The 27,130-nt window shown below is 37.0% G+C and overlaps 1 protein-coding gene across 8 annotated transcripts in view, besides 2 other annotated features; it reads right to left on the reverse strand.

The window, feature by feature from the left end:
• Positions 1–27,130, reverse strand: part of TNIK (TRAF2 and NCK interacting kinase) — a 401,995-nt gene that overhangs the window by 133,947 nt on the left and 240,918 nt on the right. For all 8 annotated transcript variants that reach the window (NM_001161566.3, NM_001161565.3, NM_001161562.3 and 5 more), the window contains exons 4-5: positions 18,756–18,881; positions 2,165–2,275 (exon numbers count right to left, since the gene is read on the reverse strand). In NM_001161566.3, coding sequence (NP_001155038.1) covers positions 2,165–2,275; positions 18,756–18,881 — 237 coding nt within the window. The remainder of the gene's footprint in view (positions 1–2,164; positions 2,276–18,755; positions 18,882–27,130) is intronic.
• Positions 13,900–14,509: an enhancer, noted in NCBI's record as "OCT4-NANOG hESC enhancer chr3:170924049-170924658 (GRCh37/hg19 assembly coordinates)". NCBI's record gives its function as "activates a minimal SCP1, AML or CMV promoter by ChIP-STARR-seq in naive and primed H9 embryonic stem cells {active_cell/tissue: H9 hESC(naive and primed)}" and the evidence as "EXISTENCE:reporter gene assay evidence [ECO:0000049][PMID:30033119]".
• Positions 14,036–14,215: a silencer, noted in NCBI's record as "silent region_14891". NCBI's record gives its function as "represses an Ori minimal core promoter by ATAC-STARR-seq in GM12878 lymphoblastoid cells {active_cell/tissue: GM12878}" and the evidence as "EXISTENCE:reporter gene assay evidence [ECO:0000049][PMID:35858748]".

Here is a 27,130-nt window from a genome sequence, read left to right on the forward strand (position 1 = left end):
TTCTTTTAATGAGATCATACAATGCATGGAGGTCACCTCCAAAACCTCTTGTGGCCAGAGACCTTTGGGTGATCAAATGTCTCTTCCAGTGAGTCATGTCTGAAATGCTGGTATCATTTCGGAGAATATACTGGAAAAAGGAGGAAAGCCATTGTTTCCACACATTGAGAATGTGTGAAAGGTATTGAGAGATGCTCATGTGATGAAACATCCCTGCTGCTTTTAGAACCATGAAGATTAGATCAAATGACTGATCCTCTGTAGGGTTCCCCAGCAGTGCAGAAAGGCATATTGGGCAGAACCAGCCCTAGAGACCTGACAGGTTCTTGGCAGCCACTGAGTGGTCAGGATGACTAAATAATCCATTATGCTCTATCTGAATGAGCAAAATTTTAAGTCAGAAATTCAAAGTAAGTTTGCACAATGGCACATCAAAACAGAGATAAACGTCAGATGTGAAGGAAATCAGCAGCCAGGCCTCCTTGTTTCCCCTCAAATTTTGTGTTATGTTCTGTTTAAGAACACAAAACATATAATTTATATTTTTGCCTATCCCAAGCCATGGATGTATGTGTTTTTTCTTAAGTGCTTTAATTTTTATATTTTTCCCATTTATATCTATAACCCAGCTGGAATAAATTTTTGAATATGGTATGTAGCAGGTGTCAGGTTTCATGTTTTCTTATGGATATTCAATTGATCAAGTACTATTTACTGATAAAAGAACCCTTTCCTTTGACACAGACCAGGTATCATCCATATGATGTGGGTCTGTTCCTGGACCCTTGATTCTGTTCCTTTGGCCATTGTCTAATCTTGTAACAATACTACTCTGTCTTAATTTATTAGTAGCTTTATAATAAATCCTGATAACTGGTAGCATAAATTCTCCAGCTTTGCTCTTCTTCTTCAAGATTGCCTTGGTTATTCTTGGCCCTTTGCATTTCTATATAATGTTTGAAAATCAGCTTTATAAATTTCCACAAATATACCTATAGGAATTTTAATTGGAAGTTCAATGAAACCATGGATCAAACTGGGTAGAAATGATGTCTTTAGAATATTGGGTAATCTGTGAAATAATGTACACCTCCATTTATTAAGGTCTTCTTTAATATTTCTCAGTGATATTTTGTAGTTTTCAGGATAGAAGTCATTCACATCAATGTTATAATTTTAAAATTCCATTTTCTATTTGCCTTTTGCCTAATTTGGTTTGCATTTAATGAACAGACATCGTCTTCTTATGCCTTCCTTCTTTTTTAACTTCTATCCATTTCATCCATCCACCCAAAGCATACAATCTATCTCTCAAAGGCATATCTTGAACACACAGTAAAAAAGTTTTAACTTTTGTTGCCTTAAATTAAGAAGGCAGAGCTTATAAATAAATAACAATGGCCAGGAAGATTTAATAAGAATGCTCAGTAGACATATAATAACCTCCATATTAGTAGGAAGGGATGATTAAGCTAGTCTGAATGAACTAAAATATGCCCAGTTACTTTCTTCTTCCTGAACTCAGCTCAGCAAATATGATACTATTGTCTAGATTTCCTGATTGGGGGATGTGTGGGAAAACTGGGCAAACAGGCAGTCTTGTTCAGCTATTTTGATTAGTTTAAGTGATTAGGTCACAAAGATTTTTTTTAAAGGTAAAATCGGTTAAACTAGGTTGTATGTATAGGAATGACTAAAGTCACACAATCCTTATAAACTTTATATGGTGGGAAGGTATTACACCATTAGGGATAATATATTAATTGTGAACTTTCACAAACAGATAACTTAAATGAGTGATTAAAATATCTCATAAAATAATTCATTTCCTAAGTGGAACACTGTCTTTATGATCTAAAATCAGGTTTCTAATTGGAAACAGCATTGAAAATGAATCCCTTGTTAAGAGAAATCACCCAATGTCAACCTAAATGAAAATATGCTCATGGCCTATCTCCAGAATGGCGCTCACTTCCATCAGAGCAGACCTTCACACCAAACTACCACTACCACCACCACCACCACTGATAGGATAAACTTTTAAAGGGTTTTTGATATGCTTATGAATTTCACTAGAAAGTCAGAAAAAAATTCAATCCCTCATAAGATATCATGTGTTGCTTGAAGACTTTGGGAGGTGGGCCAGTCCCCACTCGTAACCTACCCGTAAGATTTCCCTGCAGATGTATGCAATCCACTCCTCTTTCAACGTGTTACCTTTTGTGTTCTTGATCAGGTCGGTGACAGAGCCAGCACCACAAAACTCCATCACCAACTGGCAAAGGAAGCAAACAAGCCATTATTTTAATGATGCTTCACTGCTTCCATTAAGTTGGGGTAAGAAAGCACAAGCAATTGGCTGCTTTGGAATGCCATTCCTGCAAAGAAAAAGTTATCATAAAACAATATATAAAACACAAGCTTTTACCTTCATGTACTCCCAAAATGATATAAAGGAAACATTATTTTTAAATTTTTCAACCTGTAAGTTATATTTGAAAATTGAGGAAACTCTCCATATTCTAAGTATTTTTTTTTAATGGGAGTAGGTAGGTGACTCAGACAAAATTGAGAATATCTCTGTTTTAACTCAGCAGTCAAATTTTCACATAAAAGTAGGATTATTCCCCTATCAGAAAGAACTGTGGTTCTCTAGGTGTCCCAACTTAGGGTTACAAAAGTGCACACTGTTTATGTTACTGGTTTGTAAGTGGCACTGTAAGCTGTCAGTGTGGGAACTATCTGTTTTTAATTAACTTCAGCGAATGTTCCCAGGAGGTTGGACACATCAAATAAATTCAATAAACAATAAACTCTAATTTAGCACCTTTCATGCAAAAGCTCCAAGCACTCTATAAATATAAACTCATTACACTACTTAGCAACTTATAAAATAGGCAGAAAATAAACATCACCCTTACTCAATGGGGATGTAGAGACCATTTGAGAAAAAAGCCATCTATGTGCTTTTACATGCATTTTCTAGGCTTAGAAAAACACATCCATTTCCAGACTTTTACCTTCAAAAATATCTTCAACAAAGATCACCTTATTAGGTACTTATATATTTTTTATAATTATATGAAAAGAATTCAGAATAACTAGCAATCAATTCCTGACTTAGTAGTAGAGACAGAACTAAAATGGAGCCACAATAAAACCACATTGATGGCTTTGGCTTTGTCCAAATCTACATTCCTGATATCAGCACTATGTTTCCAGGTCCTAAAAGATACCTCATCAGGCTCCAAAATCTTCAGGCAGAAATTATATTTTCTTTTTCTTTGTATACCTAATAGAAACTAAATAAAATCTCATGAAACTCATTTCATGAGTGAGTTTCCAAAGCCTGTTCTGACTTGTCTTCTTATGATTCCACAACGGCTAGGGAAACCTTCCCACCTTCTCCAAGAAGCCAAGGAAGTTTCAAGACCTATAAGTGCTTATAGGGAAATTTGGGAAGTGCCACAAGTAGACTACATTCCAACCAGATAAAAGTTGGGAAATTACAATATGTAATAGCCCAGAAACTATCAAAGACCACAAAATCATGTCAAAAAGGATTCAATTTCAAGAGACTCCCAGTGGTGAAAGATGGGATAATCTGAGCATAGATAAGAATAATAGCTGTAATGTGTAGAAACACTTTAAATGTGCTTAATTAAATGCCTTAACAAGGTCATCCCCCACCACCCAAAGAATATGACTGGCACTGTTAGAAAAAAATAACAAACTAACTAAGAGCTGACAAATAAAAGGAAAGACTGAAGAGTCTATACTGCCTTTTTAATACAAATCTTACCACTGGGTAGTTGAATAATAAAAGAGGGAAAGTTTCTGTTCATAAAAAAGTAGGTATTCCATCTAATAAATGAAGAAGACATAGTAGAAGAATGCCACCATTTTGTGCCTCCTAATAAGCTAGCAGACTCAGGCAGTGATCATCAATGACTGTTAACATTTTAAAAAGTAAATAGAAAAAAATAAATAAATAAAAAAGTAAATAGAATTTGCCTTTTGGTATAAGAACGCATATTACCTAGGAAGTAGTACTGCCAAAAATAAAAACAGAAATCTGAACCTGATCAGGCCTCTAGCTCCAGCCACTGATTTACAGGAAATTCAGAGGACTGAGGAACATGTAACATCATGAGGATACAATCAACAAAATCTAGACCAGGATACTAGTCAAGACAAAGAGTTTTTTCAACACATAAATTGCAAGGGAGAAAAAAAGAGACGCAAAGAAAACTTATAGATTTAAAAACACTTAGATACACCAACAAATTGCAATGGGTGCACCTTATTTAGATATTAATTTTTTTAAAAAAAGATATACACATTTTGAGATAATTACAATTCTGAATACGGACTTAGATATTTGATGATACTCAAGAAATCTGGTTAATTTTTTTTTTGTTTGAGACAGAGTCTCACTGTGTCACCCAGGCTGGCGCGATCTCGGCTCACTGCAAGCTCCACCTCTTGGGTTCACACCATTCTCCTGCCTCAGCCTCTCGAGTAGCTGGGACTACAGGCACCCGCCATCACGCCCGGCTAATTTTTTTGTATTTTTAGTAGACACGGGGTTTCACCATGTTAGCCGGGATGGTCTCGATCTCCTGACTTTGTGATCCGCCCGCCTCGGCCTCCCAAAGTGTTGGGATTACAGGCGTTGAGCCACCACACCTGGCCAGTATTTTAAAAGTGTAATAATGGTACTGTAGTTTTGTAAAAAGAAGTTCTTATCTTTTAGAGAAAAATGCTGAAATACTTATGGATAAAATTATATGACAGTTTCTTCTACAAATAGTGCTGAGACAACTGGATATTCACATGCAAAAAAATGATGTTAAACCTTTACCTCACACCCTATACAAAAATATTAACTCAAAATGGATCAAAGACCTAAATATAAGAGCTAACACTATCAAACTTTCAGGAGAAACCATAGGGGTAACTCTCCTTGACCTTAGATTTAGCAATGGCTTCTTAGATATGACAACAAATGCACAAGCACCAAAATAAAAAAAAAAGAAAAAATTAATTTTATCAAAATTATAAGCATTTGTGAATGAAAGGACACTATCAAGACTGTGAAAAGACAGCCCACAGAATGGGAAAAGTATTTGCAAATCATATATCTGATAAAGGTCTACTATCCAGAATATATAAAGAACTCTTACAACTCAATAACAGAAAGACAAGCAACCCAATTTAAAAATGGGCAAAGGACTTGAATAGACATTCCTCCAAAGAAGATATACAAATGGCTAACAATGACATGTAGAAAGGCTTGATGTCATTAGTCATTAGGAAAATACAAACCAAAACCACAATGAGATATCACTTTACATCTACTAGGATGGATGTTAATTTAAGAAGAAAAAAGGCAGAAAATCACAAGTATTGGTGAGGATGTGGGGAAACTGGAACCTCTATACATTGCTAATGGTAATGTAAAATGGTATAGTTACTGCGGTGAACAGTTAATGGGTTCCTCAATAAGTTACACACAGAATTGACACATGACTCAGCAATTCCACTTCTAGAAGTATACTCAAAAGAATTGAAAACAGGTGTTCAAACAAAAACTTGTACATGAGTGTTCAAAGTAGCACTATTCACAATAGACAAAAAGCAGAAAAAAACAAAATGTCTATCAACAGAAGAACAGGTACACAAAATGTGGGATATCCATACAATAAAATATTATTCAGCCATGGAAAGGAATGAAATACTGATGCATGATATGTGGATGAATCACGTAAAACATTATGCTAAGTAAAAGAGAAGCCAGACTGAGGCAGGAGAATGGCTTGAACCCAGGAGGCGGAGCTTGCAGTGAGCCGAGATTGCACCACTGTGCTCCAGCCTGGGTGACAGAGCCAGACTCCGTCTCAAAAAAAAAAAAAGAGAAGCCAGACAAAAAAGGCCATATATTGTATGATTCCATTTACATGAAATATCCAAAATAGGCAATCCATAGAGACAGAAGCAGACTAGTGGATGCCAGGGACTGGGTGTAGGGGGTAACAGGAATGACTACTTAATGGGTACACAGTGTTCTTTCGGGGTGATGGAAATGTTCTGGCACTAGATACTCATGATGGTTGCATAACATTGTGACTATATTTAATGATAATGAGTTATACATTCTAAAGTAGTTAAAATTTAGGTAAATTTTATGTTTATGTTACCAAAATTTTAAAAAATGACATGTTTTGTTTCAAAATAACTAGAAGGGGCAACATAGATGGACATGTGGATGGGGTGGAACTGGCCACTGATTAAAGGCTGTTGGGGCTAGTTTTGGGTGCATAGGTGTTCATTATACTGTTCTGCCTATTTTTGTGTATTTTTAGGATTCTCCACAATACAAAGTTAAAGAAAGTCCCATTATATAGCAAATCAGGGTTCAATGCCAGCAGGATGGACCAAAGAAACATCTTTTGATAGCAGGAAATGAATATTTTCCCGAGTGAGCAAAACATGTTTGTGTCCCTTCTCTAAATCCCATTTTGAAAAGTACATTGACCAGGCCTCCTGTGAATACATCCATTGCTCCTGTATCAGCTGGGGAAAATGTCCCACCACTGAGCTTTATTAGGCCATGTAATTATAGCTCCCAAGGAAGGCAATGGAAGCCCAGTGACTCGAGTCTTTCAAAATTAGATTGGACAACATACTTTCAAATATTCAGTAGGAAACAATCCTACTCTAGCCAGGCACTACTGTCAGTGATTTCTATAATTTGCTTTCCCATTCAGCTCCAGCTGAAGGCTGCTAAATTCTTTTCCTCTCACTATGGAACAAAATGATTGTTAAATTATATAATGGGATTTAAAAAAAAAAAAGAAAAAAAACAGCACTTGCTAGCAATTGGTTCCTACAGCCACACAGCAATGCTGATAATTACCGCCACCACACAGCAGGGATCCTCCCTCCCCATAAGTAACCTCATCACATTAATAAACAGAAACAGAGCTCAACATGCCAAGCTCAGCAGTGATAAGTCAATAACTTCACATCTCACTAGTAAGAAATAATGGGTCATTAAAATTCTCCCTGAAAGAAAGTTCTCAAAGAGTTTATACTGGGATAATAATACTTTCTAACATTTACTGAGAATTTACCATGTGCCAGGCACTGGGTGAAGCGATTTACAAATGCTTCGTTAATTCTTCTTCACCTAACTTCCTTTTTCTGTATTTGGAAATAGAGCTTACAGTCTGCACTTTATCCATAGTCTACACTCATTAAGTAACTTGAGCAGGGTGAAAGCACGTTGCTCTCTCAATTACTAGTTATGTGTCCTTGGGTATGTTCCCTAACCACCCTGGGCTTAGCAATGTCTCTCTCCCCACCACTACCACTATGATAAAATACAAAATAAAAGCATCAACCTTACAGGTTTGATGTGAACATTAATTGTGACTATGGATATAATGCTGCTAGCAGCCAAAAATCTCAAGATGTATTTATGATGTTTCTATTCTTTGGTCTATTTTGCATTTATAAAAATGCGAAAAGAAAGAGTTTCTGACATGGAAGATAGCATCAATACCTCCCCAGTGTCCACTTCACTTGGATGGTGAAGAGACAGGGCTGAAAGATATTTGTAAAAGGCACTGGGCACATTTTTCTAAAACCTCTATTAATGAAAAAGCACCAGAGACACATGTTTTTGTTTTTGTTTTTGTTTTACATTTGTACCACACAGCAAGAAGACACAGTGGTGCATTCCAGGGCAATGGATCTTTTTATTTGGAAGGCAGGGGTGATAGGGGGTGGAGGAATTTTAAAGGAATCTAACATTTGAAATTTTCACTCAACACCGCCTAAATAAATAACTGGGTCAGAAACTTAAATAAACATGCATACCACTTGAGAAGAAAGAAGGAAGGTCAAGTTGAAGGTGGTTGGGGGCAGGATGAGGACTAGGCCTGAGCCTGGAGGAGGTGTCCAAAAAAAGCACAGTGTGGAGCAACCAACTTATTAGAGAAAAGAATTGCTTGGATTATTTAGACATGGGTAATTATTACTATCTAAATAACAAAGGTTAATTTTTAAAAGCCAAAGAGTTCTGACACTTCACAATTTGCATGGTTGATTGTCAGCAGTTTTTGTCAGTTGTCATGTTTCTCGTAGGATGTTTTCTCATAGAGGTTGGTCAGGGGTTACTTAGTATGCCTTCCTGTGCTTCTCCCCTCTCCAGGACAATATTTAAGTAAAGGGTCCTCAGCCTCAGCTGATTCCAGAAGACATTTCAGAATACTGAGTCAGCGCTTGAGGTTATCTCTTCACAAGAGACAGGGGGCCTTTAGCATGGAATCACCAGATGTGGTGGCTTCTAAACTTCCCTTTCCTGCCCTAATAACCTCTAAAAGAATTTTAAAAGATTTAGTCTCAAAGGCAGTCAAAGGTTTGGATGATTCCTGGGGTCCCTAAAGTATTCACTCCCTTGCTAGTTTATTGGTTTTAAGTTCCTGTAATGAGAAACGAACTCTTAGGATGTTATTTCACAATTGCAGATACTTACCCAGAATACCCTGACAGGAACTAATTCCTCCCAAATGTCACTAGTCAGTCACCCACAAGAATAAATGACTACTAACAGATCCCTTCTCTTTTATGGTAAAAGGAGGGGTTGGAGGCAGGGGGCAGGAAGAGGTGCAAGCGGGAAGATTAAGGTCTTCCTAAAGTGAGAAGGGTTTGCACCAAGCAGTTTAAAAGGCACCCTAAGAAAATAATAGGGGCTGGGCACAGTGGCTTACGCCTGTAATCCCAGCACTTTGGGAGGCCGAGGTGGGCAGATCACCTGAGGTCAGGAGTTCAAGACCAGCCTGACCAACATGGAGAAACCCCATCTCTACTAAAAATACAGAATTAGGCAGGCGTGGTGGTGCATGCCTGTAATCCCAGCTACTCGGGAGGCTGAGGCAGGAGAATTGCTTGAACCCAGGCTGCGAAGGTTGTGGTGAGCCGAGATCAAGCCATCGCACTCCAGCCTGGGCAACAAGAGCGAAACTCCGTCTCAAAATAAATAAATAAATAAATATAAATAAAAATAAATAATAGGAAGAACAAACTTCCAAGAACACAATTCTGCAAAGATTTAACCCAGAAACATCAATGAGGCACAGAGTATTTTCATCATGTGTGGCTGAAAATAACCACAGATCTCATCTGCATGATTTATGATGGTGGAAACAAAGTCCAAACTCAGTAACTTTGGTACAGAAGGCTGCTTTATGTGCAAAAGGTAGGTTAAGTCTCAAAATATAAAATGTGTGTATAGAAATACAAAATACAAAAATTGGTAGGTATACATTTGAATACATGTATCATTTCAATCAATTGAAGTAAAGCTTGGGGATTTCAAACCTTAAAAAGCAACTTTAATGGCCTTTTACATTCATTTTTAAACTAGCATGTACTATCTATCTATCTATATATAAACTCTTGGCTTCTGAATTATATTTTTCGACTGGGAAAGAGAATGCTTGAACTATAAATTTTAAGACTTCCAAAGACAAAAAGATGAGTTCCAAGGATGGGAAGTGTCCTAGACTTTGTAATAAAGCTTCTGGATAGTGAACAACTCTCTACCTTGAACATGGCAAAGACAGTTTGAATATACCGAGCCAACTAGTATTTTTAGCAACAACAAGTCTGCCCAAAGGACAGGCCCACTACAAATGCTCAAGTCGCCTATGTCTCAAGAGACAGACAACCCAGAGTCAGTACGATAGCATTTAAAGAAACGTTACGGACATTAGCTGCATCTTGTATTTGGTGTCTGGACTCAAATTCCACAGTATGAATGCAAAATTTTCTGCATATATATATGTTTTTTTTTTGGTAGGAGTAAGTCACTACATGTCAATTTTGTCCAAAGATCCAATCATAGAAGCTAACTTTAAGGTTGAAGAAATTTGCAACTCTGCATCTCGGAATGTTACACCCAAATAGAAGAATGTGGGGTGAGGAATGGTGAGCCAGTTTTCAGACAGGTTGAAAATAGGAAAAGAAAATAAATTGCTAGCTTTAGAGCATTTAGGACTAATCATCTTGATTGCTGAAGATTTTGAGAAACACAATATAAATAGGAACATAGACTTTGGCTCAAAAGTTATCTAAAAAAAGGAATCAAAAGGGTTGTATGGACCATTAGCAAAATAACTTTGGGTACATATCAAGTCTTCCTTTTGCTTAGATGAAAAGAAGTTTAAACAAAGTTCAAATGAAATTCTTTGGGACAAAAGAAGAGATCAATTGCACATTCTTATCAAAGAATCACCCATTAATTCATAAAATAGCTCTATTAAAGCTCAACACACACCAGTTGCAAGGTATTAAGTTACGTGTAGCTTCAGATCTGTGTTTGTATCTACGTAACTTACCTTGTGTCTCTATAGGTCTTGCAATGTGGCAGCTCTGAAACTGGGAGACTGTTTACAATCATTCCTCTTACCATGTTAGGCATATCTATATTTGCCAAATTCAACCTTTTAAAAATTTCTGCTCACAAATAACAAGACTAAATAACTCCTCCAGACAAGTGACGTAGGCTCTGTATATGAAGGAAAGGAGCTGTTTACTTATAAAAGTAACAAACACTAATCAAAACAAGTTTTAAAAGCCTCATTTCTGATACACAGCATTAACAAAAGATAAATTTTAACTGTTCAAAGGATTCAGCTATGAGTGGTTAATTTTTTTTTTTTCCTACAACCTCCACGTCACACAAGGGTGGTTAAATTTTTAATGGCATTATCTGCAGTACCTAACATTTAAATGTTAAAACAATCAAAATTGAAGTGGGCATTATTTTTACCAAGCCAAGACGCTATAACAATGTAAATCCAAAATACTGCAGAATTAGGTTTAGGAGTTGTGGCCAACATCAATGCAGAGTCTAAAAAGGACCTTTCATGGGTAGTTGAATGAGTTTGTTTCTTAGTTCATCCCAGTATCTTATTCTGAGACGATCTTACACAGGGGCTGGGCAAGTAATGTGAATACATGAAATTGAGTATGTATGGAAGACAACAGGGGATGTTGGGGCCTCTGGTGCAAATTTGATATGTGCCCTCTAAACAGCTGGTACACTGCTCTAAAATACTGCTACTATTTGAAATTTCAGGCCCAATATTTCTAGATCATTTTATTTTTCAAAACTTTTCAAGAATCCAGACTTTTCTGTGAAACTGCTCAAATTTTCTAATGTTGGCATAATTAAACCACCACCACCTTATGTGAACCAAACTCAACATATTTATCATGGCAGCATTTAGCCTCTAGGCTGCCAGTTTGCCAACTAAGAACTAGTCTAATATTATCATTTTTATAAAGTAGAATCCAAATGCCAGACACATTGGTTCTCCCGAGGTTTGACTCTGGGTCTCCAGATTCCCAGGCTGTCAGAATCTTTGTCCTTAAAACGCACACGGTATAATTTCTTAAGTCTTGGCTCTGCAAGTGTACCGTGTGAAAACTTGATGAATAGATTATTGAGCCGCTACAGGGCAAAAATCTGCTATCTTACTTGACCACCCTACATTTCAGAAGATGATTACAAATTTATTTCCTGTTACGAGATATTCTAGCCCTGTATTATGGTGGTATCAAAAAAGACAGCAAAATATGTGTGAGTTCACATTGTAATTTTTGAGAAATTAGTTAATTTACTAAACAGTATTTCTCCCTCCCTCCCAGTGTCTGAATGGCATGCAGCAAAATGGAGAGCCTCTCATCACTGATAGGCAGCAGAATGAGATGTTGTGTGTCAGAGCTTGCCTTGTTTCCGAGAGATCAGAATCTTTATTGAAAGGGCTCCCTTTTTTGATTTCCGGATCAGACCCTGAGCAGTTGATAAAGGAGAATTACTTGGCCATTATCTGAAGTAGTTGTATTTCCACAAAGAGCTAGTGCTAAACAAGAGTTTATCTCTACAACAAGACTGATAGGATTCGTACAGATTATAATTCAATCAGACACCTGAAACAGGACATACATTGGCTAGTGGGATATATGCAAACCTGTCCTCCAGCCATAGCAAAATAAATATCTGGGGAATATTTCATGTAGTCTGAATACAGAGAATAAATGTTAGAAAGTGCTGCTTTTAGTTGCTTTAGGCCATGCCTCTATATAATTCATAATATTTTTATACAAACGTAATCCTAACAAAATGCCACTAGTCTGAAGAGTCAACTATCTATGACCTTTGCAATTATTTGATAAAACATTCCCAAAGCACCTAACGCACTTTTCAAAATGTATTTCTTAGAGTTTACAGCACTCTTATTAGTAGCTAACAGGTCTTACTTGCTCTTTGAATATTGGGTAAATAGAGGAGTACAGATTAAAGGTGAAGTTAAACTAAATTTATTTAAACATAAATCTTCAATCCTATTTAGAACATCAGCTTCTGATATCAGAACTATTTTTCATGACCAAAGGAGAAGAGTGTAGGGTTTAAGGGCTTGATTCTGGAATCAGACAGCTTGGGGTTAGCTAGCATGCTGGCTTCATCACGGACTTGCTATAAGACCTTGGACAAACTTCTGGACTCTCTGAGCCTAGTTTCCTCCATCTGCAGAGTAGGGATAATACTTGATTTGCAGAATGGCTGCAAAAATCTAATAAGATAATATGACAAAGTAAACAAGCATAGTACTTGGCCCATGGTAAGCAGGTGATAAATATTTCCTACCATTGTTCTTATTAACAGAGAATGCCCCAAATTTAGTGAGTCAGAGGCCTTGGAATAAGTATGTACTGTTATATTCTATGACTGTGTTCCCACCAATATTGTAATCTGATATTAATTTCCTAACTATTATGTTTCTGTCTTTCTTCTTCCTAGTTCTTTCTTGATTTGTCACCACATCAATCAACTAGGAAAAGAAATGACGCTCTTGCCCTTATGAGGCCTTTCATAGCTTTTATCTTCATCTTTGGTAAGAAAGAAGCTACTAGACAATTGCTAGAAGGGATGGTCAGAGCAGCCCTCTGCATAGACGCGAGTCTGACGAGTGCTAGGCCCTTTGTCCTTCAAACCTGGCAGAATGTAGGAGCTGTAACTTCCACATTTTGTTACCTGCAGTTAATTGCATTTAATTGAAGTGGGGTAAGTTGAATGTGATGGCAGAATTCCTCCCCATGTGGTCCAGTTTGGAAGTGCTCACTACTTGCAGATCCCCCCTTCATCAAGTTCAGGAAGGGGATTCACTTACTAAAACAGTTTCCTAACTGGTCTCCTGTTTCTCTCCTTGACCCATCTGGTCTATTCGCAAGCCAGCAACTGAAGTGACCCCTTCAGTATGTGGGTCAGATCCCATCCCCCTCACTCCATGTTCAAAACCCTCCATGGCTCTCCCACCTAATGCAGAGTAAAAGCCGAGGTCTTTCCAATGGCCTGCAAAGCCCTGAATGATCTGGATCCAGGTTGCAGACTGTTAACTTCTCAGAAAGACAGCAAGGGAGCTCTCTGGGTTCTTTTTATGAGGGCACTAATCCCATTTATAAGGGCTCCACCCTCATCACCTGATCACCTGCCAAAGGCCTCACCTCCTAATACCATCACATTGAAAGTTAGGATTTCAATATATGAATTTTGGGGGCACACAAATGTTTAGTCCATAACACATTGCAACCCTTACCTGCATTCCCAATTAGTACTCCACCAGGTACTTACTAGCTTCCAGCATCCTCTGTAATTGTCTTATTTATTATGTTTATTGTTTGTAGTCTACAGCAAGAATGTAAGCTGCATTAAAATAAGTACTTTCATAAATTTTGTTCACTGTTATATCCTGAGTGCTTGGAAGAGTGCCTTGTGCCTAGCCAGTATATATATGTATCTATACTAGCCATGTATATATATGATGATATGATAATATATACATATACATATGTATGTACACACAGACAAATAAATGAATATATGGAGATATATATGTTCGTGTATATATATATATATATATGGAAGAATGAATGAATGACTGGGGAGTAAATAAATGAACACATACACATCAGGCTTTTGGTTCCCAGCAACAACAGCCATCTCCATGAGAAGAGCAATTGGCCAGGGTGAGAACTAGTGGGAAGTGACTCATTTCCAGAGTACAATACCTCCCATTAACACCATGCAGATGCCAGCAGGTGTGCTGCTTTCTCCAAGTACCTATCTGAAAATGGACTGAAGATTTTGCTCAGTTTTTAACAAAAACTTCCAGGGGGCTTTCACAGAACTTCCAACCAAGCTAAAGTGTTATGTTTTAGGATGTCTGCAATCTGGTCCTGCATCATCCACTAATGAGTTTTGAGGCCCGGGGAAAGTCAATTAACTTCACTGGACCCAGCAAAGTTTATCATGACTAATTCTTCTTCCAACTTAAAACATCTCAGGATCTGCAAAAGGGCGAAAAAGAGTCAAGCCCTATTAACCACCCCTCTCCTTCCCTCAACCAACGATTCGTAAATAAACACCCCAATTACCCCAATTTTAATAATTCAACTTAACATGAAAACCAACTTTTCTATCTGGCCCATCTCACAAAATGAATGAAATTAATAGCTAGGTGTGGCTCATCTAGAAATAGCTGTTCTAGCTCAGGTGATATGCTGGGAGATGGTTATAAATCTACATTAATGCTTTTTTTTTTTAAATTGAGAACCATAGCCCTGACCAAAGAAAACACCTTTCTACAGACAACTATAAAATAGCTATCATTCCTTGGCTATTCTAAATATTGCTGCAATGAACACAGGAGCTCAGATGCCTCTTTGAGATACTGATTTTATTTCCTTTGGATATATATCCAGAGGTGGGGCTTCTGGATCATAAGGTAGTTCTATTTCCAATTTTTTCAGAAACCTCTGTAGTATTTTCCACATGGCTGTACCAATTTACATTTCCACCAACAGCATACAAGGGTTCCCTTCTCTCTACATCCTCACCAACAATATACAAATTCTTTTTCTTTTTTTTTAAATTTTAATTTTTTTGGTAGAGATGAGGCCTCACTATGTTACCCACGCTGGTCTCAGACTCTTGGGCTCAAGCAACCCTCCCAGCCTTGGTCTCCAAAAGTACTGGGATAATAGACATGAGCCACCATGCCCAGCCAATATACAGTTTTTATTTGTTGATTATATCTTAATACAACTGGGAGAAAAAAAGTCAGGATACCCGTTTTCCTTGAGGTGGCAGTGATTGAGAGGGAGAGCAAGGGGGACTTCCAGGGTGCTGATAATGAGCTGGAGGATAATAGCTATCATTCTCTACGTGTCATCTGCTGCAGCTTCTGGCAATTCAGAGTCACTGCTAAAATGCTAAATTGTTGACAATGTAGAAGTCCTTTGGAAACACAAAGATATGTTAACTCATGCCACCCCATCATATCCTGTTGAATCTGCAGGCCTCAGGGAATCTGAGCTCTCAAAAGTACCTGTTGCAACCAGGTTTTGTTCTAACAATATAATTTTCATTCATAAACCAATGATTTTGTCAGCATATTACCCAGTGCCTTCCAAATGCTGCAGAGGGAAGCAAAAGACACAATCCTTGCCCTCAGAGAGCAGACAGTCTTTTATGAGGAGCAAGAACAGCCCGGTGGTAGCAATAACAAAAGCAGCAGCAGAAAGGGTTCAGATGCTGAACTTAAGAGAAATTTCAGGCCAGGTGCAGTGGCTTGCACCTGTAATCCCAGTACTTTGGGAGGCCAAGGCAGGAGAATTGCTTGAGACTGGGAGTTTGAGACCAGCCTAGGCAAGAAAGTGAGACAAAAAAATAAATAAATTAGCTGGGCATAGTGGCGTGCTCTTGCAGTCAGAGCTACTCAGAAGGCTGAGGCAGCAGGATCGCTTGAGCTATGGTATTTACGGCTACAGTGAGCTATCACGGTGCCACCGCACTCCAGCCTGGAGGACAGAGCAAGACCCTGTCTCTAAAAAAAATGTACTGAAGAGAAAGATTAGAGAAAAAAAAAGCAGATGTAAAAAAGAAAAATGCTTTTAAAATGAAATTACTGAAATTACTACCTCAAATATTTTCAACACAATTAGTATACATTATATCAGATATCCCCACCAAGTTACTACGTATTTTTTCCACAAAAATGAAAACATACTATATCTAATTATAACCTCTTCAACAGGCTTTACAAAGTCCTATTTTATTTTTGTGTGTATGTGTGTGTGTGTGAGACAGAGTCTCACTCTGTCACACAGGCTGGCGTGCAGTGACACTATCTCGGCTTACTGCAACCTCCGCCTCCCAAGTTCAAGCAATTCTCCTGCCTCAGCCTCTGGAGTAGCTGGAATTACAGGCAGCCACCACCATGCCCACCTAATTTTTTTGTATTTTTAATAGAGATAGGGTTTCACCATGTTGGTCAGGCTGGTCTCAAACTCCTGACCTCAAGTGATCCACCCACCTCAGCCTCCCAAAGTGCTGGGATTACAGGCGTGAGCCACCCTCGCACCCAGCCCCTACTAAAATTGTTAATGCTTATCCATTTATAAATGCAGAGCTACATCATTTTAAATGTCTGCAATGTCCCGTAAGTGACTCCCTATTGGTTAACTTCTACATACATCCTTATGTAGTTACCTAAATAAGTGACCTGATTTAGGACATATTCCTGCCTGTGAAAATAGGGAGTCAAAAGTAAGGTGTTTGCTTTGGAAGGGGTGTGTGTGTGTGTGTGTGTGTGTGTGTGTGTGTATGCCAACTGCCCTTAAGTTGGACCAGTGTTCATTCCATGAGCAGTGGGTATGAGTGTCCATTCTAGACATTATAATTAAAAAAAAATCTTTGACAGCCTACTAGGCAAGAAATGGTATCTATTTTTTTCTTGTGGATTTCTATTGTTAGTAAGAATAGGCTTTTAATACAACTTTACTGATAATTGATATTGCTTACTTTTTTGGTTGTAACCATTTCCTTAACTCAATCTTGCTATTAGTAATTTCATGTTTTTCCTATTGATTTATAAAAATGCTTCATCTCTGAAGGCTGCTAAATTCTTTGCTCATTATATTATAAAATGAATATTTTTACTTAGTTATTTGCATTTTTACTTTATGTTTTTTGTTAAGAAGACATTTAAAACATGTATATAGTCAAGTCCATCAAAATTATATTTTATGGTGTATCCCTTTGTTGTCATATATCTCTCTTTAGGATTATCCAGTCATATTTATTTTCTCCCACTACTTTTATATGTTGAATCTTCATATTTACATCTATTATACATTTAGAGGCCACAATTAAAACCTACTGTAACTTTTTTAGAATTATATAAACTATATAAAATGTGTTTACCCCCAAATAATTTTTCTTTTAAATTTGGAGATGAGCCTTATGGAAAAAAAAAATCCCAATGGTTCTTTTCATTTCCAAAGATTGAGTACTCATATTAAATGACATGAAAATCTTGTTAGTTTTATGAGCTAACATTTTTATATCTTTTTTGGTCACTGATTGCATTCACTGTCTATATTCTGTCTTCCCCACTGGATTGGAAATGTCTGATGCATTAAAATAGTTACTTCTGCCCGAGGCTGAGTACTTTGGGAATTCTCCATGAAATAGCCATTACTGGATCCACACAGCTCAGCACAGTATTTGGCATATAGTAGGCTCTTGCTAATTCAGTAAATTTTGTGTGTTAGGCACATACAAAACCTCTGGAAAATGAGCAAGACAGTAAGAGGTTAAAAAGGTATTTTTAGAAGCATTAATATAACAACGACATGTGGGATGAACAGAAATTGAGAGAGAGGAAGCGGGGAAGGAGGGACGGAAGGACAGAAGGTAGAGGGAAGAAGAAAGAGTGAAAGAAAAGTAGATCAACACATAGGAGGCCATTGTAAAGTCCAGGCTTCCACTGAATGGGCCCATACTAGGGAGGTAATTATAAAATTGGCAAGGGAAGGCCAAACCAATACAGCATTATAATCTTGCTGAAGGACTAAGTGAATAAAAGTTCCAAGGACAGAAACCAGGAAGGCTCCGCACAGCAGCAACAGGCTTTGGTATCAAACACAGTAAACTCATTGGTGGGACAGCCAATTAGAGCTGCCTCTTAGACTGTCAAAGATAAAGGACTGTGGCACATACCTAAGTGGACTAGGGGAAACATGAAAGGAAAACAACCTTTGCAGAGTCCCTACTTGGTACCAGACACTGTATTAGGTATTTTACTTACAGAGTTAAAGTTTATGTTTCAGTCGCCCACTCATCAGCGATAGACAGAGAATCGCATAGAGCTTGGTTAGATCCTAGATCCATCCCTGCTAGCTATGTAGACTTTGGAACAGTTTATTCATTTTTTCTGTAAACCTTAGTTGCATCATTCAAGAAATTAGGGAAAGAATAATACCTAACTCAAAGAAGCAAAATAAATGATACAATTCATAAAATGTAAATACCAAGGCACCTAAAATAAAACACAATAAAAGGTTGTCAATTAGTGAAAAAAAAAAAAAAAAACAGAGAACTTAACAATTGGCTTTGGGGATGGTCCATATTAAGGGATAGAAGGAACATTTAGAGATCCTGAAAAGACAGATATTCAAGGAAATGGGAGAAAACCCTGAAAACAATATGTTACGGACATCATGGGGGCTAATGGTTAAAGAAGGAGTTAATCAAATTTTGTCATGAGGATAGAAAAATGAACCATTTGGCCGTGTTTGTTTTTTATGTAAATAAAGCAAATTTGGACGGCAGTACATACCCAAAGTTGGTCATCCATGCCTGGTGGGTTCTTTTTGATAAAAGCACCATAGTATGTAGCAATATTCCGGTGATGAGAATATTTCTTCAACATGTTAATTTCTTGTTTGATTTCTTCCTCTTCATCCTGTATGAGAACAATATAAAAATTCTGTCATGAAAATCTATGGTTGTTAGTAGGATTCTGTTCTTCAACACCATCTAAATTTTTTCTTGTTTTTTCTTCCTTGTTGACAAATGAGCATAATTATTACATATGAGGGCAAAGAACAATTCTAAAACATAATACATTGGCTGTCCAAGAGACTCTTCTTTTTGTACAGCAAACTGGCATAGCACAATCTCTTGGAAAACAAAACAAAAACATCCAAAACAATCCCTCATCTCTTCACCTAGAAGAGATCAAGGTAGAAAGACTATCGAGAGAAAATTCACTGTAGGCCTCTGGGAACTACATCCATCAAGTAGCTATTACTGATTCTATCTGGTATAAGAAAGATTGAGGAAAATGAAAGATATTAAAACCGTGGGCGCTCAGATTTAAATTTTGTTAGGTTCATTTTCTTTGAAGGCTCCTTTCATTGAAGTACCTGACTGAAGATGATGAAAGTCAGATGGGAAAAGGAGCAAAGGTAAGTTCTCTAGATCTAAGGAAGTTCACAAAGCAGGAGTACCCACCTCACCTTCAGGAAACTCACCTTAGAAAGAAAGGGGGAAATGTGGTGGTACTGAGGATGTAAAAAGAGACAACTCTCTTACAGAGTTAGTTTCTTAATATTCAGGTTTCATTCACTATGAATTTTGATTTGGAGTCCACCAACCTGGACCCTTTTCAGAGGTCCTGGCAGTGCTGGTGGAGATGGTGACCTCCCATAATTTTATTTTCTTGATGTGTATACACATTGGTTGGACTGCAGAAGAGTGTTTTATTGTTGAGGTTGGGGGAGAAAGTTTCTACCTCAGGATAATTTTTTAGGTGCAGCAGTAAGCTATGACTGTCCCTGAGTGCAAGATGTGACATTATCATGACCTGAAAAACTACCCATGGTGTCCCCTGTCTGTACCCTCCTCCACTCCGGCTGCACTGCCTCCTTCCAGTGTCTCTGCATTACTGGGACTTCCTGCAGTCTCTCGTGTGCTGTCTTCTTTCCCCCACCTCTTCTTCACATAAGCTCTACTCACCATTCCTGATTGAGTTTAATCGACATTCACCAGGGATCTCTTCCTTAATTCTCTCAGGCAATGTCAAGTCCCCCCACTGCATCTGGTCATAGCCCCTACACTCCTTCACATACCTGCTGTATTTGTTGACATTGGTATGGAGGTATGTCCCATTACTCGACTCTCTTCTCCCTATATTGTAAGCTCTCCTCTCCAGATCTTCAGATCTCAGTTCTACAGTTCCTTCCCCAGCAAAGCTCCCTGATCTGCCCAGTTTGGTTCTAGCCCCGTGAATCATCATGTATCTTTTCCTTTGTAGCACCTATCAGAATTGCCACCCACATTTATCATTTGATTAAGGTCTCCTCTCCTTATCAGTCGGTAAGAACCGTAAACTCAGGAATCCTCCCTGTTTTGTTCTCTACAACATCCCTAGCACCAAGCAGTGCCTGTGAATAAATGCAACTAAAAGAACAAATAACTACAAAGAGCCCAATGCCCAGAGCAGCATTAGTGATGTTAGAAGGAACAGGTAAGAATAGAGTGAGGAGAATAGTGAAGTGCTGACATTTGCTGACCATGCTTATTTACTAAAATAAGCTTTAGGAAAAAACAAAGGGGATTTGCAAACCTAGGAGAAGTAAAAGCATGTTACATATCACATGGCTTAACTAAGCTGAAGACTAGGTAATCTCAAAATAGAATATATGCTTGGGATGCTGAGCTAAGGAGAAGCATGTGGCCGAAACAGTGGGGAAGGGAGTCAAGGGGCGAGACAGGGGAAGGCACACTGCTGACCACCTATTCTTCTTAGCAGCCATCAGAAACTCCCCACGCCTTCACTGCAGGTCGTGAAGAGAATGACCTTCGCCAGCCCTCAACTTGTTGAAGGGTCCCTACAGCGCACCTCCAATGTCTTACTATGGTGCACATTGGCTATTTTTAAACTTGCTGTATGGGGCCAAATAATTGTGGACGAATGTAGGATGTGAGCGGATGTACTTTGGGGAAGCCTAAATAGAAAGGGAGAAAAACGACCTGAGGGTTTCTGTGGGCAGCACAGCATCGACAGCTGCTTCCATTAAAAAGGCAACTACGTGAGGTAATAAAAGACACGGATCACTTTCCAACTGCAGCCTGTCAATCTTAGCATCAGTCATTCTTAGTGAGAAATCAGGCTGCTTCTACAAGTATTTACCGCTTGCCTCCTGGATTCTTAGCAGGATAGTGGGTGATGTGGGAAAGACAGGGGAGGGGGGGACTGCCTATAAAAAGCTCACCATGTCATTAAGAAAATAAGAGCTTATAAAACAGTTAAATAACAACAGAAGGCACTATGTAATTAAATCCAAAATAAATAGTACTGGAGGTCAGAATAAAGTCAGTACATTCTCCATCATTTTGCAAAGGTAAACTGAGGCAATATGACAATAAGGACAGCATATGCATTGAGTCTGGGATCAGAAAGAAGAGGGTGGGCAGATGGGGTGCATGTTGAGTTTGGGTACCATTCCTTTCTGGCTGCAGAATCCCAAGAAAGTTGCCTATCTTTTTGGACCCTAAGTTTTCTCATTTATAATGAGATAAAGATATTATAAGTCCCAGCATTTTGTGGTACTTAGATAACGGATGTATGTTATAAAGTGTACTACAAAGTAAATGTTATTACTAATCTACATAACCAAAAAATAAATAAATAAAAGGGCAGGAAGGCCAAAATGTAAATCACTTGAATTTTAGGTTTAAATTGCACTGTTTCCAAACACAGTTATGGAACCACTGTAAGACATGGTTAGGTAGTTCTAAAATATAAATCCTTGATCTTACGCAACTTTTTAAGTCAGCATGCAATTTAGCAGGCCTTTGGGCCTACTGTTTATCCAGATTTTTAGTCTAGGGCACAGATGGCAGTAAGTTATTCAGTGAAATAGGAAGGAAGACCGTTACTAGATGAGACAAGAACTCATTTAACCATGTCACAAAGAGTTCAGCCTCTCACAATATGGCCCATCAAGGGAGATGAGTTACAATGCTTTCCAAAAATGCAAAGAGAGCAAGGGAGGCTAGAATTAAACTAAAAAGTTATAAGTGAAAAAGTTATAGCCCCATGAATCATCATGTATCTTTTCCTTTGTAGCACCTATCAGAATTGCCACCCACAGTGGCAGAATTGCCACTGAATGTGGCAAAAAGTAGGAGACAATTTATCATAAAGGATCACAGGCTACGAGAATTTGAATAGCCTCTATTTGTAAATTATTTTGTAAATGTACTATTTCCAAATCTTAAGTATTAAGCACAAGGATCAAGCCCTCTGATAAACTAATGACCACTGGGCAATAATGAAAAATAAAGTAGTGGTACCAAATTATCACACATTTAAAAGAGTAACTTCAATAAGCCAAGTCCGGTACTCTAGGAAGAAGGATTACTTAAATCAGATGACTTCCAAATCCAGTCATATTCATTATGTTAACCTCAGCCATGGCATTTAAACTCTCCAAATGTCAGTCATTTTCAGCTATAAATAGGAATAAGAATACCTATATAAGCTACTTCTCAGGGCTTAGAAATGATTAAGTGCTTATTTAAATGTAGCTTTAGTATTAATATAAAGAAGATAATATTATTTCTCAAGATCACAGGATCTACTTATTGCTTAGTGTTTGTGGTAGACTGAAAAAGAAAATGGCCATGATATGTGTCCCACCTGCATCAAGAGGTGGAGTCCATTTCTCTTCTCCTTGAACCTGGGCTTAGCCACATGTCTTGCTTTGGTCAAGGGGACATTAGCAAATCGGATGAAGAAGCAGAGGCCCGAAAAGCACTTATGCCTTGAGACTGGCCCTCTCCTACTGCTTGCCAGAGAACCAACCCTTCAACCCCCATGTGAGAAACCGGGATTGACCTTCTAGAAGATGAGAAATCATGGGAAGATAGGCAGTTTTCAAATGCAAGGAAATAGATAATTCCAGTTAATGCTTTTAAGCCACTGACCACCTCTGATGGCAACATGATTGTCATCATGTGGTCATAAAACATAGCCAAAGCCAAAACCTCATGTAATGTTTACTGTGTACCAGGAGGTATGTATGAACTATCTTATTGAGCACTCAGAACAGCTATGAAGCTGGATCCTATTTTACAAACGAGTAAAATGAGTCTCAGAGAAGTTAAGTAACTTTCCCAAGTTCACTCATACTTTAAATGTTAAACCTCAGATTCAAGACCAGATTTCTCTGACTCCAAAGCCAGTATTCTTAATTCTTTACAGAAAACTACTAGTCAGATGAAGGGCAATTATCCATGGTGTCCAAAACCAAAGTCGTTAATCGGAAGCGTTTAAGAGCATCTTAAGCCAGGGCAGAAGAGAACCCTGACTTTGGTCTTCCAATTAAAGGAGCTTGTTAGCATACAATAATATTTGCTTATGATTGATTTCAAGGAATAAAGAAGGGATTTTAAGTTGCATATTTATTACACAGGGGAACACACTTTAAGTGCCTATGATATGCTAGCATTTAAAAATGGAATAAAACATTTAATATTAGTTATATGCTCTGTAATAAAGTCTGCCCAACATTTAACTCTCAATCCGTGGCAGAGGAATGAAACTATGCAATTCCTACAGCAAGTCTAAGAGACTAGTCAGGAAGAAGTCTAGAGAGAAGTATAAGGTGTATAGATTCATAAATGCCACTATCCCATAGATGTGTGGACACTGGCTAGAACCATCTCTGCTCCCGCTCATCTGCACTGCTTTCACAGCAGCTGTTGCCATTAAGCAGGTGTTTGTGTTATCTGTCATTCTCACCTTCAGCATTGACTGAATGTGGCAAAAAGTAGGAGACACTTTATCATTAAAGGATCACAGGCTACGAGAATTTGAAGGGATCGTCACTATGATATAGAATGTGGTTTTTAAAAAGCTTCTGAAATAATTTGTAATAGTGAAATCCCTCCCTGCAATAGAAGTTTTTTTCAGGATGCAAATATATAGCTGACAAAAACTAAATTTTTAAAATCAGTAAACATTTATTTGTTTAAAGCAATATCTACTTATACAATTAGTCAATGACAAGAAGTTGTTCTAGTGAATACAAAATTAGAAAGAAATTTAAAGTTATACATCAACTCTAATATCTTATTAATTTTCATTTTTCTTTCAGTTCTATAGGATGGAGAAAAATCTGCATTTCCTAAGATAAATAGTTGAAATAGTTAAGAGCATGCCTTGAAATTTTAGTAGGATCTTCACAATCAATGCCATTCTGCACATGAATAGGGTAACCTAGCAGCACAAATTAACAGGCTGGCGTTTTCCAGTGTGTTCAAAGTTGGTGTATAACATACAGTTTGAGGTCTGCTTTTTAAATCACAGTTTATTATATGTTAAAATATATTTAAAATTAAATGAGAATTAAACATGTAAATCACCTAAAATTATCTCAGGGTCAAGTTATGCAGCTTTGGGTCTGTTTCCTTAAATCGATTACATCTAACAGACTGTAATAAATTAGATTGTAATAAATAATTACAATAGATTGTAATAAATAATTAGATGTAATAAATCTATTACATCAAATAGTTTTAAGGAAACAGACCCAGAGTCATCCAACGAGTTGTCTAAGTCCCTACCTCTTCATTTTAGCATTGATAGGACTTTGCCAGGACATTCTGCAGGCAGCACCTGGATTTGCTGTATATGTTAACTCTAAGTTAAATTAATTCATTCAAGAATGATTTACTCAACCCAGCAAACCCATTACTAGGTATATATCCAAAAGCAAACAAATCATTCTGCCAAAAAAATACTTGCACTCACATGTTCACCGCAGCACTATTCACAATAGCAAAGACATGGAATCAACCTTGGTACCCATCAATGGTGGACTGGGTAAAGAAAATATGGTATGCATACACCATGCAATACTATGCAGCCATAAAAATGAATGGAATCATGTCCTTTTCAGTAACATGGTTGAGCTAGAGGCTATTATCCTAAAGAAATTAATGCAAAAACAGGAAACAAAATCCTGCATGTTCTCACTTATGAATGGGTGCTAAGCATTGGGTACAGATGGACATAAAGATGAGAACAATAGACACTGGGACTACTAGACTGGGGAGAGAAGTGGACAAGAGTTAAAACTGACTGTTAGGTACTATGGTCAGTACCTGGGTGACAGAATCATTTGTCACAAACCTCAACATCACACAACATACCCAAGCATCAAACCTGCACATGTACCTCCTGAGTCTAAAATAACAGTTGCAAAAAAAAAGTAAAGAAGAAAAAAGAATTATTTACTAAGTGCCTACTATATTCCAGTCATAATTGTAAATGTCAATAATATAATCATACTACAATAGGCATAACAGATTCAAGTTCTGCTACAATGAAGCTTACTACAGTTTAGTGGAAGACACAGATATGAATCAAAGAATGAGATATATGCAAAATTACGACCATGAGAAGTATGTGGTAGCTGATCTAATTAACCTCAAGAAACCTAAGTTTAAGCTGAGTTTTTAAGGCTAGGTGAAAGTTACCCAATTGGGAAGAAAAAAAGAGAAAATGTGATGTAGTGTGATTGGGATAGAAACATTTTCCTGGCAGAGAAAGTGTTTGCCAAGGTCGTGTGGCTGGAGAGGATGTAGCATGTGGTCTACTTTGGAGGCTTTTGGTGCCATAAAGAGAAAAATAAAAATTGTCTGCAAAAGACCTGGTAATAATAACAACAATAGGCACAGAATACCGTGTTCTACATATTGTTCTGAAACCCTTTATAAATAATGATTAATATATTTACATCTCACACTAACTTTGTGAGAGAAGTGGCATTATCCACATTTATAGATGTAGAATAAAGAACATTAAGCAATATGTCCAGGGTCAGAGAGCCATGAAGTGTCAGAACTAGGATATTCCACGAGACTGACACTGTGCAGGGCTCTTCTTTGCCAGTAGGCTAACCTGCTTTCTCTTACAATGAAGTGGAGTTCCCTAAAGGGGTAGATAACAAAAGGTTGACATATGTCTTTCTCATACCCAAGCCTGCACTGAGGCATGACTCCCAAGAAAACCACGAATTAACAAGACCCAAACTCAAGTAACCCAGAAGTAAACAAGTTTTAAACCTAGCAATAATGTCACTCATGTGGCTAAAGTCTACCATAAATGGCGTGGCTTATATCTTCAAGGATCCTAGATTTACAATTCAGGTAACAGCCCACAGGAATTGGAATGAGTTTTTTTTTTTTTTTCTGATAGTATAAACAGTGTACTTTATAATGTTCCCCCCTTTTGGCTTTGGTTATTGGGAAAAATAACTAGCAAGTTCTCTGTGGCCCTGTAATTTCAATTTGCTTTTCCTTCAACTGGCTTTCTAATCTTAATATTGTTTTTATATTTATTTTTACATAAATATGCATTTATACTCTACATAGATTTTTACATTGTATACACTATATATGCATTATATATTATATACATGTATTATATGCATATCATTTACATATTATATATTAAATACATATTTTTATATATTATAAATATATATTTGATATATATTACATATATTTAATATAAATATATTTTATTTTTATATATTATATATTTACATATTTATATTAAATATATATTTTTATATGTTTTATATATATTTAATATATAATAAATATTAAATATTTATATTTATATTTATATTAAATTATTACATATTAATATATAAAATATTACTATATTAGTGTATTAATTATATTAAATTATATTTAATATAATATATTAAATATATAAATATATATTTTATATAAATATATAATTATAAATATATATTTTATATAAATATATAATTATAAATATATATTATAAAATATATAATACATATTCATATAATCATTCAATAATCATTTACTCAACCCAGCAAACCCATTACTAAATTATATATATTATTATAATTATATGTAATATATAATTTAGTAATAATTATAATATATATTATATATAATGATATATATCATTTTATATATATAATGATGTGTATATATATAATGATATATATCATTTTATATATAATGATGTGTATATATATATAATGATATACATATAATACACATATATAACACATAATGCAGCACCTACTAGGTGCCAGTGCCAGTGCCAGGTTCAACCTTAGCAAGCTCTGCATGGGGTGCAAAGATGGATAATGCACA

This window comes from Homo sapiens, chromosome 3 (assembly GCF_000001405.40).
Source record: "Homo sapiens chromosome 3, GRCh38.p14 Primary Assembly".
In the NCBI taxonomy this organism is placed as follows: domain Eukaryota; kingdom Metazoa; phylum Chordata; class Mammalia; order Primates; family Hominidae; genus Homo; species Homo sapiens.